Source organism: Homo sapiens, chromosome 21 (genome assembly GCF_000001405.40).
Source record: "Homo sapiens chromosome 21, GRCh38.p14 Primary Assembly".
NCBI classification, from domain to species: domain Eukaryota; kingdom Metazoa; phylum Chordata; class Mammalia; order Primates; family Hominidae; genus Homo; species Homo sapiens.
In genome coordinates, this window is record NC_000021.9 from 16,536,850 (window position 1) to 16,551,372 (window position 14,523).

Sequence of the window (14,523 nt, forward strand, 5' to 3'; positions counted from 1 at the left end):
TTATTTACAAAATAGCTCTTGTACCTCCATGCTGCCTCAGCTAATGGTACACCAACTTTCACTGGCTTAATTAATATTGATAAACCTGTTTCCATGTTTCAAGATCCGTTTAAAAACATTATTTTAAATGTTATTTTTAGCAGCCATTAATCTCTACACTCTTAATTATCTTATTAAGCTCCATGCCAAATCCAAATCTCTTTTCAGCTTTCGCTACTTCATTGTGCAAAACCTAGTCGCTTCTTTAACAGCCATCGTCCTTTCACTTTCAAAACTGTTACTGTGAAAACAACACGAACCAAAATGAACGCATAAATGCAAACTATGAAACCACTTTATATGTCATATGAGTAGCCTGGGTGGGGCCCTGTGAGTCTTCCAAGGCTTTAAAAAAAAAATACTTTAAAAGGTTTTGCCCATTTTGATATCGTGTTTTCTTCTCGATCGTCTACCCTCATTCCCACGATCCACTCAGATGCTCCTCCTAGACAGCAGTTGTCTGATATTTCTCCTTTTGTGGTTGTTTTAGGGAAAAACTTAAAATGGATATGAAAAGTGAAGAAAGTGATCATAGGAGAAAACCATTTCAGGTAAAAATAAAAAACAAAGAGCAAATAAGATTTACTGTTTTTAAAGAAAAACAACATTCTTTTGACTGTGTTTTGTTATAAGAATTAATTTCATATTCTTTATGAGTGTAACTGTTGAAATTTTATTGATGGTTTTCATTTGAAAATGTGTGCTATGACCTACCTTTGTGAAAAATTTCTTGTGGTCAATTGGGCAGTTTGTGTCCCATTGAATATATGTCTGTGTATCCATACGCTTAAGATAGGTGCAATACGGTTTACTAGAAAGCTTTATAGGAAAAGAAAAAAATTATATTTTCTTATTTGTTGTACCATATAAAAGGAAGTGAAATCAGGAGGAGGGGAATAAGGTCATGCTTTTTCATCTTTTTTACATGACCTGATAAGACAATGAAACCAAAACATGCTTTCTTATAGTTATGGTAAAACTAAACCCAATGCTGCCTCTTATTTCACATTTGCATTTATAAATATATGTTGAAATATTTTTACTACAACTGAATGTATGATTGTTGATTATTTACTATAGTTTTTAATAATTATGAGGACAATTTAAGAATAAATAATGGTTTAAAATTATGTAGAACACATGATCTATATAAAGGCTATAAAACGTATTTATTTCAAAATATGCAAAATCACTAAGCAATTAGTATGTAGTATTATTTTACACAATAAAGATATAATTAGGAAATGCTAAGTGATTATAGATGTGAAATGATTAATGATTGTACAACTTATCATTTTGTTGCAGTTGAGTTTACAATCTTAAAAAAACGTGTATGTGGCTGGCTTTATGTTTACTCGTTTGTGTGTTTGCTTGTTGTCTGGTGGTTTAAAACATTTTTTAGTAATATTTTATTTTTGCCCAACCTGTTGACCAGATGAGAGTTGTATGTAGCCATGCATTTTAAGTGTATCTTTTTTGAACAATAAGTTTAAATATATTTTATTTAGGAAAGAAGATATCCTATGTCATGTAATACATCTGGAGTATAAATGTTAGTGTGGAGTATTAGTAATCATGCCATTATCGTGCCATTTAGTTTAGTTTTATATTAACTCATCCAAATATTGTAAATTTTAGCACCATTCCGACTATAGACACAGATGTATATATTTAAGGCTGATAATAACTTCCTGTATTCTCTAGCTAGTGAACAAGATCTTACTGTTTTATGAGAAAGTTATAATGTTACCAATTCCTTGAAACCAGTAACTAAACTAGTTTTATAAAAATTAAAATAAGCACGGTCTAACTCATACACAATTAACTTAATAGTTAATTTGGTTTTAATTATAGGCTCGTAATACTACATTCATGCCTCACAATTATATAATTCATACATGCATGTATGGATTCTTTTTTCTTTTAAAACTCAATTAGAATAGTTTAATTCCAAAATATTTACTATTGAAACAAAAGCAGTTCGTGAAAAATTTTTCAATAAACTACTTTTTAAATTCTCATGCATATAAATTTGTATTTAGTTTTGAATATTTATGAAGGCCTTTAATGGAGAATATGCATCCTTAGAACTCAGCATTTAAAACATTTATACTAAAGGATCAATATTATTTTTGACTCTTAATTGCATCAGATATTTACAACAAATTCTATATTAATAGGGGGCCCATGCAAGATGTTGCCCATTGGCATAAACCCGTAGATCCGATCTTGTGGTGAAGTGGACCGCACAAGCTCGCTTCTATGGGTCTGTGTCAGTGTGGTAATCTGACAAAATGCTATACACAGTGCCGTTCAACAATAGTTCAGTAAAATCCTGTTAAACTCCAGTTGATTATATACTTTTGAAGTCATTATATTTTCCTTTGTTTTTAATGTTTATTTTAATCATTGTCTGTCTTACAAGGCAGGCTTCAATTCTCAACAACTTGGAAGCGTTTATATCACACCCATTCAAGTTCGATTCCATGTACAGTAAATTGCATAAGAAAGTTGAACCTTTATAGCAGGGTTTGGACCAGGATCTGAATAGATTCTGTTCAGAAACTTCAGTGCATACTGTAGTGCTTAGTGTACCTCTTCAACTTCAGTAAGAAAATTAAAGACTACCATTGGATTTATATGTTTTTATTGAGCCTATTTCTCCTGAAAAAATGAGGCTGAATGCAATTGACTTTTACTATTAATTGCGACTAGAACTATGGCAGGTTAGATGGTCAGAAGACATTTTACGTGACCTATGCTGGAAACCCAAGTGTTTAGGTTAGTCCTATGAGAAACAGTTAGCAGCAAAGTTTACTGGTAAAATGTTAGAATATTATATCTATATCCTTGCCAAGCCCTTAGGTGTATGGCTGCCATATTTGGAGGAGCTGACTGAAGATATGATAAGGAGTTTGAAGCAACATTGGAAGCTGTGTGCATCCGGGTTGAGGTAGTAGGTTGTATGGTTTAGAGTTACACCCTGGGAGTTAACTGTACAACCTTCTAGCTTTCCTTGGAGCACACTTGAGCCGTCGAGGAATTCTTCATCACTTTAACCTGATTGAGCCAATTTGTGTGCAAGAAGGTAATGTGTCATGAGTATCTTGGATCATTGATTTGGGCCTTTATTACATTAAAATGATCATTTCAGCCCTATTAGATTATTCCATTTGTATCTGCTTATGAACAATGTCAAAATGGTATTTCTAATGGGTTGTCACTCCATGTTCAAACATTTTAAGAAAATTGTAGGTAGTGACTTAAATTGCATTAATATTAAAGCTTTTTATCATCTATAGATTAACAAAATTCAGACCTTAATTTTCAAATGGATCATTGGTCTATTTATATTGGCTGCTTAGACACTATAATAAAAAATGTCTGCTAGAGTTAATAGCTCCCATAGCACATTATTTGCGTTTTCCTTATGACACATCACTTTCTACCTTATGTTATGGCTATTTATGTGCTTGCTGATTTTTTCCGCACTAGACTGTAAGCCCCTTGAGGGCAAAGTCCATGTTTTATTTTTCACTGTATCCCCTCCAATGCCTTACTCATAATGAGCACTAACTATTTATTGGATTAGTGAATGGAGTGTAAGACCTCACTCTGTGATGAGTTTCTATTGAATATTTGAATGAGTTATGGCAGTGGTCAAACATCTGAGTTTTATTTATTGCTCCTAAAACTGTTTAAATTTAATTCCTGGACTGCTCCGCATCAGTAATACATGTGTCGATTTTTGACTGTGTTGAATGTGTTCATTCATTCTAAACAGATAAGTTAAAATTTAGAAGTACTTTTTATCTAGAATAAAAATAATAGAGTAAATTCATTTTTACTAATTAGTTCATGACAGTTTATGATCCTACACTTAGATAATTCATATTTCTGTTGAATTTAAATACCTTTCTTTCCAGATGAATCGTTTTTCTTTTAGCATCAATTTCAACTAAATATTCTATTTTAAGTCTCATTTAACAATATGATTTTTAAAAATTAGATTTGTGTCTTTTGTGTATTTCCCTCGTCTCCTGCCCTTTATTTTTGTACAGCTATATCTGTTGAATAAACCAGAAGCAACTAAACCAGAAACATGTCAATAAATTAATAATAAATATGTATATAAAGTATAATTTGAGAATGTGAACACATTTTTGTTTAAAGGAAAGGCACTTTATAATATTCTTTGTGTTACAAAGCAAATGGGACTCTTTGGAACCTTAGTTTGCTGTCAACTTTAGCAGCTGTTAGTGGTGTAATTTGTGTAGTGAGGCTATCTTACATAGATCATCTTTCAGACACAGGATTAAGTAGTTGTTGATGTTAGAACTTTAATTTAAGACTCCAAATATGAAACATGGAATTCATTAAAGAGACGTTTAGATGCAAATATATATTAAGGACCTCAAGATACTGGCTATGTGGTGCTGACCTTTCTAGAATGCTCAGGCATCCAAAATATCTTAATACCTAGAACTTGCTAACAATGTAGTGAAGAAGGAATGGCTACCCCCAACACGTAGAACATGTGAGCCTTAGAAAGTGAATACCAGTCACTTCAAGCAAAATAATTTGATTGGTCTACAGTAGTAAAGACTCTTTCTCTCTGTGAAAGAAAAATATTTGCAAGGACTAATCAAGAAGCAATGAATAAGAGGCAGTAGACATAGACCTAAAACAAACAAACAAAAAGACATGAAGAGATGAAAAGGAAAGTGACTCATAGCAAATAGGAACACCATTGTGTCTAATGATGGCAGTTCAACCCACGGATGAAAGAAAGGGACAACTAAATGGGTAAACAATTGTATCTTTATAAATAGTTTTTTCCTTGAGAGCCTAGGATCCCTTTCCTATGTGTTTCTATGTATGTATCTCCCAATACTAGGTGTATTTATTTAGAAGCCAAATCTATTGATGGGCCAAATAGAATATGATTGCCAATAAATGTCTATTTCCTTACAGTGTAATGGAGTTAAGTGCCTCACAGAGGTCAAGTAAGATGTGCAGTTTAAGGATAATCTTACAAAAGTACTATAATGAATTGTTAGAATTACAGCCTCTTTTATATACTATCACCTAAAGTGAATGAGTATAATAGAAGAATAATTGAAGAATGGTGAAGATGTCTCTATGATTCATTATGTTAGTTATGTAGAAATCATAAGAAAAAATCTGACCAGGTGTGGTGGCTCATGCCTGTAATCCCAGCACTTTGGGAGTCTGAGGCAGGTGGATCACTTGAGGTCAGGAGTTCGAGATCAGCCTGACCAAAATGGTGAAACCCCATCTCTACTAAAAATACAAAATTAACTGGGCATGGTGGCACACACCTGTAATCGCAGCTACTTGGGAGGCTGGGGCAGGAGAATAACTTGAACTCGGGAAGCGGAGGTTGCAGTGAGCCTAGATCATGCCATTGCACTGCAGCCTGGGCGACAGAATGAGACTCCGTTCTCAACAACACAAAACAAACAAAACAATAAGACAGAAAAAAACCTGCAAGGTGGAGGATATAGTTAGTACCAATGAAGAAAATTTTTAAAACTTCTCTGTAGGACAAGAACACTACGTGGAAGAATTGTATGTTTGCCTTTGATTCATAATAAATTTTGCTACTCCAGGTATGAGGGCTATGTAACTTGCTACAGGTTTATAAATAAATGGCAAATGTCAGATATAGAAATTGATAGGATTTTTTGAGAAACCAAGATATAGGACCACTGCTGATGTCAGTAATTAAAAATAGTTAAATTATGTCTAAGAAATCAAAGCGAAAGATTGTTCATATAGAGGGCTTATGTTCAGCTATGGGGAAACAACTAACCAGACTGAATAATTTCCTTAAGAATTTTAAGTGGTCAAGTTTAACTGTAGACTGGGGTTTTCACATCTGGTAACAGAGTATGACAATTCAGGAAATTATTAAATATCAGTGAATCATACTTCGTTTAACCAATATTTCTTTTGATATTTTGGGGCACAAAGTTGGATATGTCTTTATGTTCATACTGGTTGATTTACCTCAAATGCTTTGTGGGATGAGGCAGGAAGGAGTTTTAGAGTGGGAAGGGAGGGAGGGAGAGAAGAAGGGAAGGAGGGAAGAAAAGTAAAATCAAGTGCAAAGCAATCGATTGAGCCTCACCAGAAAAGTCCATTATTAGATTATAAGAACTAATGAGAGAAAGTAACTATGAGAGAATCAGATAAATTACTTGGCAATTGGACTGGGTCTTTTTGAAAAACATCCAATAGTCCATGAACTATGTTATTAGAATAAATGAATGATTTCTGTAAATAATAATTTAGATTCTCTTATTCCCTATTATCAAATGCTGACTAATGAGCACAGGTGATTCCTCAAGATTACCCAAATGATCTGATACAGGATTCCGTCTTCCTGAGCATTATTTCACACCCATGGCTAGTTTCTCTGCTACAGGATAGAGGAATAACTCCTGAGGTAACTTATCTTAACTCTACCTATACTTGACCTCTAAAACCCTTTGGGAATGCTTGTGAAAGATATACCAGAAGAATACTTTATTCTTACTTTAATGCCTACTGCCCAAGCAAAACTAATACCTGTTATTATTATGTCATTTAACATGATAATATCATGTTCACCTACAAATCCTTTACTGATTCTCTAAGATAGAATTTCTCAGTTTTGAATCCTCAAGGCCCTTGCCACTTTCATTCCCACAGGGATTTCTCTGACTTCTATTAGTAGTATTTACAAGTGTCCAAAGGGACTGTGACTTGCCTTTGTACCTCTTGTAATGTACATGCTTTACTTTTTTAACTATGGATATATTGAATCAATGCCTGTCGTCTTGAGTTGAACTTTAGATCATTTATGGGCAATGATGAGAACTGCTACACACCTTACGATAAACTTGGTTTCAGCAGTAAAGTCATGGGTTACCCAAGACATCTCTAGACTCTCCAGAATGTATTGTCATGGTATTAGGAGTATTCTAACGGTGCCTAGGTCTGCAGCCCACTCTTGATTAAGCATGTGATATACCAGTGGAAATGATTTAGGCAACCAGCCAATCACTATAATTTGTAGTAAATCTAAGCCCCTTTATGTAAGAAATCCATGTCTGTTTCAAACTGACAGCTCCTACCATAATGTTTAGCTTATAGGATCCATTCACCACTCCATTTTGGTGAATGAGCAAAAATTTTTTAAACAAAATAAAAAAGTGTTATATATTGGAGCAATTCTATATTTAAGTAGACTTCTTCAAACTTTTAAAGTTTAGAATTTAAAATAAATTAGAAATATCACTTTTGGGGGGAATTCTGTTTGATGATAATTCTTTTTTTTTTTTTTATAAGCCATAATTAATATAGATTTAATGCATTTTTCCATGTATTACATGATTTAAGTACAGTCTTCAAAAGTGAAGGAGTCTTTACTTGAAAGATGTTAAAGTGTATATGTTTGTGACTCTAGAATTTTCTTTTTTTGTTGTTTTTTTTTTTTTTTTTATTATACTCTAAGTTTTAGGGTACATGTGCACATTGTGCAGGTTAGTTACATATGTATACATGTGCCATGCTGGTGCGCTGCACCCACTAATGTGTCATCTAGCATTAGGTATATCTCCCAATGCTATCCCTCCCCCCTCCCCCGACCCCACCACAGTCCCCAGAGTGTGATATTCCCCTTCCTGTGTCCATGTGATCTCATTGTTCAATTCCCACCTATGAGTGAGAATATGCGGTGTTTGGTTTTTTGTTCTTGCGATAGTTTACTGAGAATGATGGTTTCCAATTTCATCCATGTCCCTACAAAGGATATGAACTCATCATTTTTTATGGCTGCATAGTATTCCATGGTGTATATGTGCCACATTTTCTTAATCCAGTCTATCATTGTTGGACATTTGGGTTGGTTCCAAGTCTTTGCTATTGTGAATAGTGCCTCAATAAACATACGTGTGCATGTGTCTTTATAGCAGCATGATTTATAGTCCTTTGGGTATATACCCAGTAATGGGATGGCTGGGATAATTCTTGATCTCTTAAAATTGGCATTGTCTTGTGTGTCCCTTAATTTTTAACCTTATTCTATGCTATGTGAAGGCGTGAATTAAATCATATTTCTCTCCTACATCCAATATCTCTTAAATCCCAATTTTGTTTCTCTTCATCTGAACTCTTAGAGTACTTATTTGACAACAATCATAGTCAGTCTGTGTTTCTAATTACTTTTTATATGTTTATATAGTATATAAGAAGATTAGATCATATGCTGTATAATTTGTGTAAATTTGTACACAATAGGCACTTAATAAATTGTGCTTTATTGAAATTAAAAATAAAATTGACACTTATTAATGATAAGAACCTTAGAGATCAAATGGCCCATTTTCCAGATGACCAAACTGAGGCCCAGTTTCTTTAATGATTCTGCCAAGGTCAATCTACTAGTTACGGACATAACTCAGATTTCAAACCATTTCAGTGACCTATCCAAGAAGAAATATTTTAGAATTGCTGTCATTAGATTTTTAGTTAGTACTCCATTTTAATGTGTCATTAAACAAATTTTAATAAAGTTGATTGAAATTAGAGAATAGACTTTTGTTTCCGAAAGGCTATAAATCACATAGTAATTTAGCTTCAAGCTCAAATATGATAGACATATAATTAAAATGATTTAAAATAAACTCATCCCTTCAATTATTTCTTTCCAAGTACCATTGCACCCTCATTCTTCTAGGCAAAGAGAGGAAGTTATCTACCTCAGTTACATTCTGATATTTCTCCTCCTTCTAGAACACTTCTCCAAGAGAGGAGAGTATGGCCTAGCAGTTGGTGGTGTATCTTAAGCAAAAAGGAAAAAAACAAACTATATATTGTTCAATCTGTTAGCACTGTGTTGCTCAGAAAAATGAAAGTTAATATTAAATGGTAACCGTAACTAAATCCAACTTCAAGTTTCAATTGTTCATGCCCTCCATGAGATAGGCAAGATATTATGTAAGGTGCTTTCACAGGGATCATAAACTTAAGTAACTTCTGGGTCCAGGTAGTATAAGCCAGACTTTTAAGACAAGGGGAAGTAATGGGGACTGTGGTAGACCAAAGAAGGCATATTTACCTTTAAGATATTTCAAAATAGGCCAACGCCGTGGCTCACGCCTGTAATTCCAGCATTTTGGGGGGCCGAGGTGGGCGGATCACCTGAGGTGAAGAGTTCAAGATCAGCCTGGCCCACATGGTAAAACCCCCTCGCTACTGAAAACACAAAAATTAACTGGGCGCGATGGTGGGCACTCGTAATCCCAACTACTCAGGAGGCTGAGGCAGGAGAGTCGCTTGAACTGGGAGGCAGAGGTTGCAGTGAGTTGAGATCACGCCACTGCACTCCAGGCTGGGCCACAGAGCGAGACTGTCTCAAAAAAAAAAAAAAAAAAAAAAAGATATTTTAAAATAACTCTTGTTAGTATGAATTTGGATCCCAAGGGCAGCCAGTTTTCCATTTCTGATATGAAGGTATCAGATAGTAAAGCAAAATTTCAAAAAACTTATTATTTTGATGAAGCTAACAGCATCTTTTCATAAAGTTAAACTAGATAATTTGGGATCGTTTTACTACTCTCAAGTCATTATAAAGTTCATATAAAAGACAACTTCTATGCTGACATTGTTATTTCAAATAGATATGTATGTTGCATGACAGTCGACATGGTTTCTTGAATTTAACTGACTAATGAAAAATATTCATTCATCAAGCAATAATTAGCAACCACAATATTATTTTGATGTCATTTTAATAAAAGAAGTGTAGTAGTAGTAGTAATTGTAATATTCTTGGTAGGAATATATAATTTTCAGTTTGTATTTGCATATAAACCGCAATGTACAAAAAATGAAATTCTTATAATTCTTATGCTCAGGTAATTGATGCTATAGATGGATAAATATATAGCATTTTCAAGTTAGAAAAAACAAAATGTTAAATAGAATGAAGACTAAGTTCAAGTATTCTCATCTCCATATAAAGTCGGGCAACTGAGTAGAGTTCAAAAGTAAAGAAACATTGGTATTGTTAATTATATTTTATTGTGTTATAATTAAAAGACCAATTATACATAAATCTGGAATTAGATCAGGTTCCTGTCCATAAATTTTCGATATAATTTAATCCAGTGAATCTAAATGTGTAAAAGAGAAATGACAAAACCACTTATGAAAACACAGAGTTTCTAGTAGTAAAAAAACATGTATTGTCAATTTTGTTGTCTGTTGTAGAAGCCCTCTTATTTAATATAATTGGGATCAATAGTCAATGAGTTAATGCACTCAGATATTAAAATAAATTGATCTTAAAAACAAATACATACACACAACCTACATTTTATTTAAATTTTAAACACTTGATTATATATTTATTTGCCAATAATTTTATGTAAACCAAGAACTTTTTTTTTTGGTTTACGTTGTTGGTTACAGATTATAGTCATCCTTCCTTTCAATAAATCCTATAATGCATCATATATGATTTCTAATTTTTCATCGCGTCATGAATGTCTTTAAGTAAGTTCAAATCCAATGCAAAGAAATCTAAGAGCAGAATTCTACTTTCTCCAATTTTTTTCTAAGCTTCTGAAATTGTCTTTCCCACATGTTATTCTATAGCATTGTGGGTTTTTTTAAGTGACTGAATTTTATTAAATCTTCCCTAAATATTCAACTTAGAGGTATAGAACAACAATTCTCATTTTCTTTACAATTATATTTCAATTTGTTTATGTGATATTTAATTAAATTGTGCAATTCGGTATATGCAAAACTGGCATAAACTGGTTTGGGAGCAAACGTAATGGACTCCAGGGAGGCATGTAAACCACTTGGTGGGAGCAGACATGTTCAACTGGGTGTTCCAGAAATCTTGATGGCGACGGAACTGTTCTCTCTGCACTGTCCAAAACAATAGCCACTGGCCACATGAAGCTATTGAGCACTTGAAGTACGTCTAGTGTGACTGAAAAATGAATTTTAAATTTTAGTTAATTTTAGTTGACTCAAATTTAAATAGCTACATGTGGTTTGCAGTTAAGGCAGTAGGCTGTGCAGTTCTAGAGAGTAGCTCACTTGCATTTAGCATTTAGCAGCCAGGATATCTGTTAAGAATATCAGATAATCTGCAAAGTGGCTAATGGTTAAGAATACTACTGTAGTTGAATTAAGATACACTTAGGAAATGCAGATTGATTTGGAATGTGTTTGTTTTGCTTTTTTTGTTTCATTTTATCATCTTTTACATTTGTCTTTTTTTATATTTGAGTCTAAATTTAGTTTTGAGGAATTTTTTAAACTTTATTCGAAATAAGGAAGCCAATGAGTAAAACGTTAAACACTACAGAGATTTACAGCTCTTTATGTAGCATTCAATTCAACCGAAAACTAATCAGAAAGTAATGACATTCCTTCTCATATTGGCAAAAAAAAAGTTCTTAATTCAGCATAATAGATCCATAGGAACCATAGGATGAATTTGTTGAGTCTTTAGAACCTTTGAAATATTTATATTAATAGTTTAAATGTATGCGAATGTGCTTGTGTTTGTTTTGTTTGTTTGTTTGTTTTTGAGTTGGAGTCTCACTCTGTTGCCCAGGCTGGAGTGCAATGACACAATCTCCGCTCACTGTAACCTCTGCCTCCCGGGTTCAGGTGATTCTCCTGCCTCAGCCTCCTGAGTAGCTGGGATTACAGGTGTGTACCACCACACCCGGCTAATTTCTGTATTTTTAGTGGAGATGGGGTTTCACCATGTTGGTTAGGCTGGTCTTGAACTCCTGACCTTGTGATCCACCTGCCTCAGCCTCCCAAAGTGCTGGGATTACAGGCGTGAGCCACCACACCCTGCCCAACGTGCTGGTATTTCTAAGGAAAACCCAGGCTCTGTCAGATTTTCAAGAGAGTGCATAATTTCCTCAAAAAGTTAATAATAACTCCATGAGGTTACTGTTTAATACTTTTTGAGGTGCCTGAATTTAATTCAGTGTAAACTGTGATAGAATCGAAAGCCTTCATTTACAAATATTGTAAATCTATCAATCCACATATATGTTAAATTATAAAATGTATACATGTTATTAAATATGTAAAAATTTTATGTATTGCACAATATATAATTTATATGTAATTAATAATACATTTATAATTTAATTACTTAGATAAACCTGTGGAACAAAGTTGACATAAGAAAAAAGGTAGCTTAATTCTTTGGAAGGACTAAATTAAATTGGATAGGTAAAATTGGTATTATATTAAGTTTGAACATTTAACTCTAAATTACTGGACATATCATAAAAATGTAGACTGAAGCCACACATGGTGGCATGCGCCTGTAGTCTCAGCTATTCAGGAGACAGAGGTAACAGGATTGTTTGCGTCCAGGAGTTTGAGGGTGTTGTGAGCTGTCATCTCCAACCTGGGTGATGGAGGGAGATCCCATCTCTAAAAAAAATAAAATAAAATAGATTGAGCCATCTCTCAGTTTTACAATATAAGTACATTTACTTTTTATTAATGAATAACTGGGCTTATTAAAGTGGTGCTTTACGAGTGAGGTTTATGAAACATAAAAAGATAGTCATCAGTTTCATGCTAAATGAGAGAACTTGCCTCATGTGAAAACATCGGGAAAATTAGAAAACTGTACTTTTATATGTTTTTAAAATAAAATATTTGTTTTAATGTATTTGTATGTTTCCCTTTTTAATCACAGTTGGTCCTTGAACATCACAGGGGTTAGGGGTCCTCACCCCCGGATGTAGTTGAAAATTTGGGTATAACTTTTGACTCCTCAAAAGCTTAAGTACTAATAGCCTACTTACTGATAACATAAACAGTCTTACTGATAACATAAACAGTTAATTAACATATATTTTGTATGTTATATGCATTATATACTATATTCTTACTCTAAAGTATACTTGAGGCTGGACACAGTGGCTCATGCCTGTAATCCTAGCACTTTGGGAGGCCAAGGTGGGAGGATCACCTGAAGGCGGGAGTTTGGGAGTTCGAGACCAGCCTGACAAACATGGAGATACCCCATCTCTACTAAAAATACAAAATTAGCTGGGCGTGGTAGCTCATGCCTGTAATCCCAACTACTTGGGAGGCTGAGGCAGGAGTATTGCTTGAACCCGGGAGGTGGAAGTTGTGGTGAGCCAAGATCGCTCCATTGCACTCCAGCCTGGGCAACAAGAGCGAAACTCTGTCTCAAAAAAAAAAAAAGTATTCTTGAGAAGAGAAAATGTTATTAAGAAAATTGTATGAGAAAATATTCCACTGCTCATTAAGTTAAAGTGGATAATCATAAAAGCCTTTATCTTAATTGTCTTCAAGTTGAGTAAGCCAAAGAGGAGGAGGGAGAGGAGGAATTGGCCTTGTCGCCTCAGGGGTGGGAGAGGCGAGGGCAGAGGCAGGAGAGGCAGGCACACTCGTTGTAAGTTTTATTGAATAAAATTCACATATAAGGGAACCTGTACAATTCCAACCTGTGTTGTTCAAGAGTCAACTGTGACATTTTTAATCTATCAACTACCAATTCCAAAGACATCAAGTAGGATGGCTTCCACTGCAATAGTATTAGTCTTCTTATAAAAGTGAGAAAACCAGGGTCAGGGAGTTACACATATAAATTCCTTACAGCCACATAAAAGGTAAATCCCAGACTGAAGCAGATATATCTTACTCCAAAGGATTTGATTTTAATCATCTTGTTATAATGTCTCCTGTGACAGAGAATTAGAAACTTGAAAGCATTAGGTATCCACAGTAAAAATTTGCAAGTAAGGTTTTTCTCTGTTTTATTTAGAATGAATGTGCAGCCTCCCCAGTCCAACTGACCAGCTTCCTGTGCTTTCAGAGACCTTTTCTAGACCAGTATTACAATTTGGAGATCCACACAATAAAAGTTCAAGGAGCTGTCTTCTCTTTCTGAGTTTTTAAAATATAGACTAGCATATGGTTACTAAACCTAACCTATCTAAAAACAGCAAATATATTTGCTTCTAACTGGGGATTTATCAGGTTAATGTGGTAATATGTTTATTTGAGGATTAAAAAAAAATTGTGCATTATCACTCAGTCTTTTAACTTCAGATTATTTCCATTTAAAAATTCTAAGTATTTCAAAACATGGGAGAACAATAAACTTTACGTCACAGACTACTTGAGATTAACTGACTAATATTTGGGAAGCATCTAGATAACACAGTTTCTTACATAATATAGGGGCCCAGAGAAGACTCCGTTTTTCCTTCCCCCGCTTAAGAATTAAGAATCTTAAGAATTAAGAATGATTAAGAATCACTTGACCCTCACTTACTGTTTTCCTTCCTGCTCTGGGTTTTAAGACCTTTTAGAACAATGACCCTCAGCTGGGCATGAATGGGAGGGGAATGTGAGGCGGGAGGTGGGTGTGGTTGGAAAAGTCTT

The 14,523-nt window shown here is 34.2% G+C and overlaps 1 long non-coding RNA gene and 2 other non-coding genes across 16 annotated transcripts in view; all 3 read left to right on the plus strand.

The window, feature by feature from the left end:
* MIR99AHG (mir-99a-let-7c cluster host gene) overlaps positions 1-14,523 on the plus strand; it is a 561,240-nt gene that overhangs the window by 466,362 nt on the left and 80,355 nt on the right. For 9 of the 14 annotated variants that reach the window (NR_027790.3, NR_111005.2, NR_136552.1 and 6 more), the window contains one exon: positions 530-590. The exons of the other annotated variants lie outside the window; for them this stretch is intronic. This is a non-coding gene — a long non-coding RNA (mir-99a-let-7c cluster host gene). The remainder of the gene's footprint in view (positions 1-529; positions 591-14,523) is intronic. 14 annotated transcript variants of the gene reach the window in all.
* Positions 2,240-2,320, plus strand: MIR99A (microRNA 99a). Its single transcript, NR_029514.1, has one exon. It is a non-coding gene; the product is annotated as a microRNA 99a (primary transcript).
* Positions 2,979-3,062, plus strand: MIRLET7C (microRNA let-7c). The gene has a single exon (NR_029480.1). It is a non-coding gene; the product is annotated as a microRNA let-7c (primary transcript).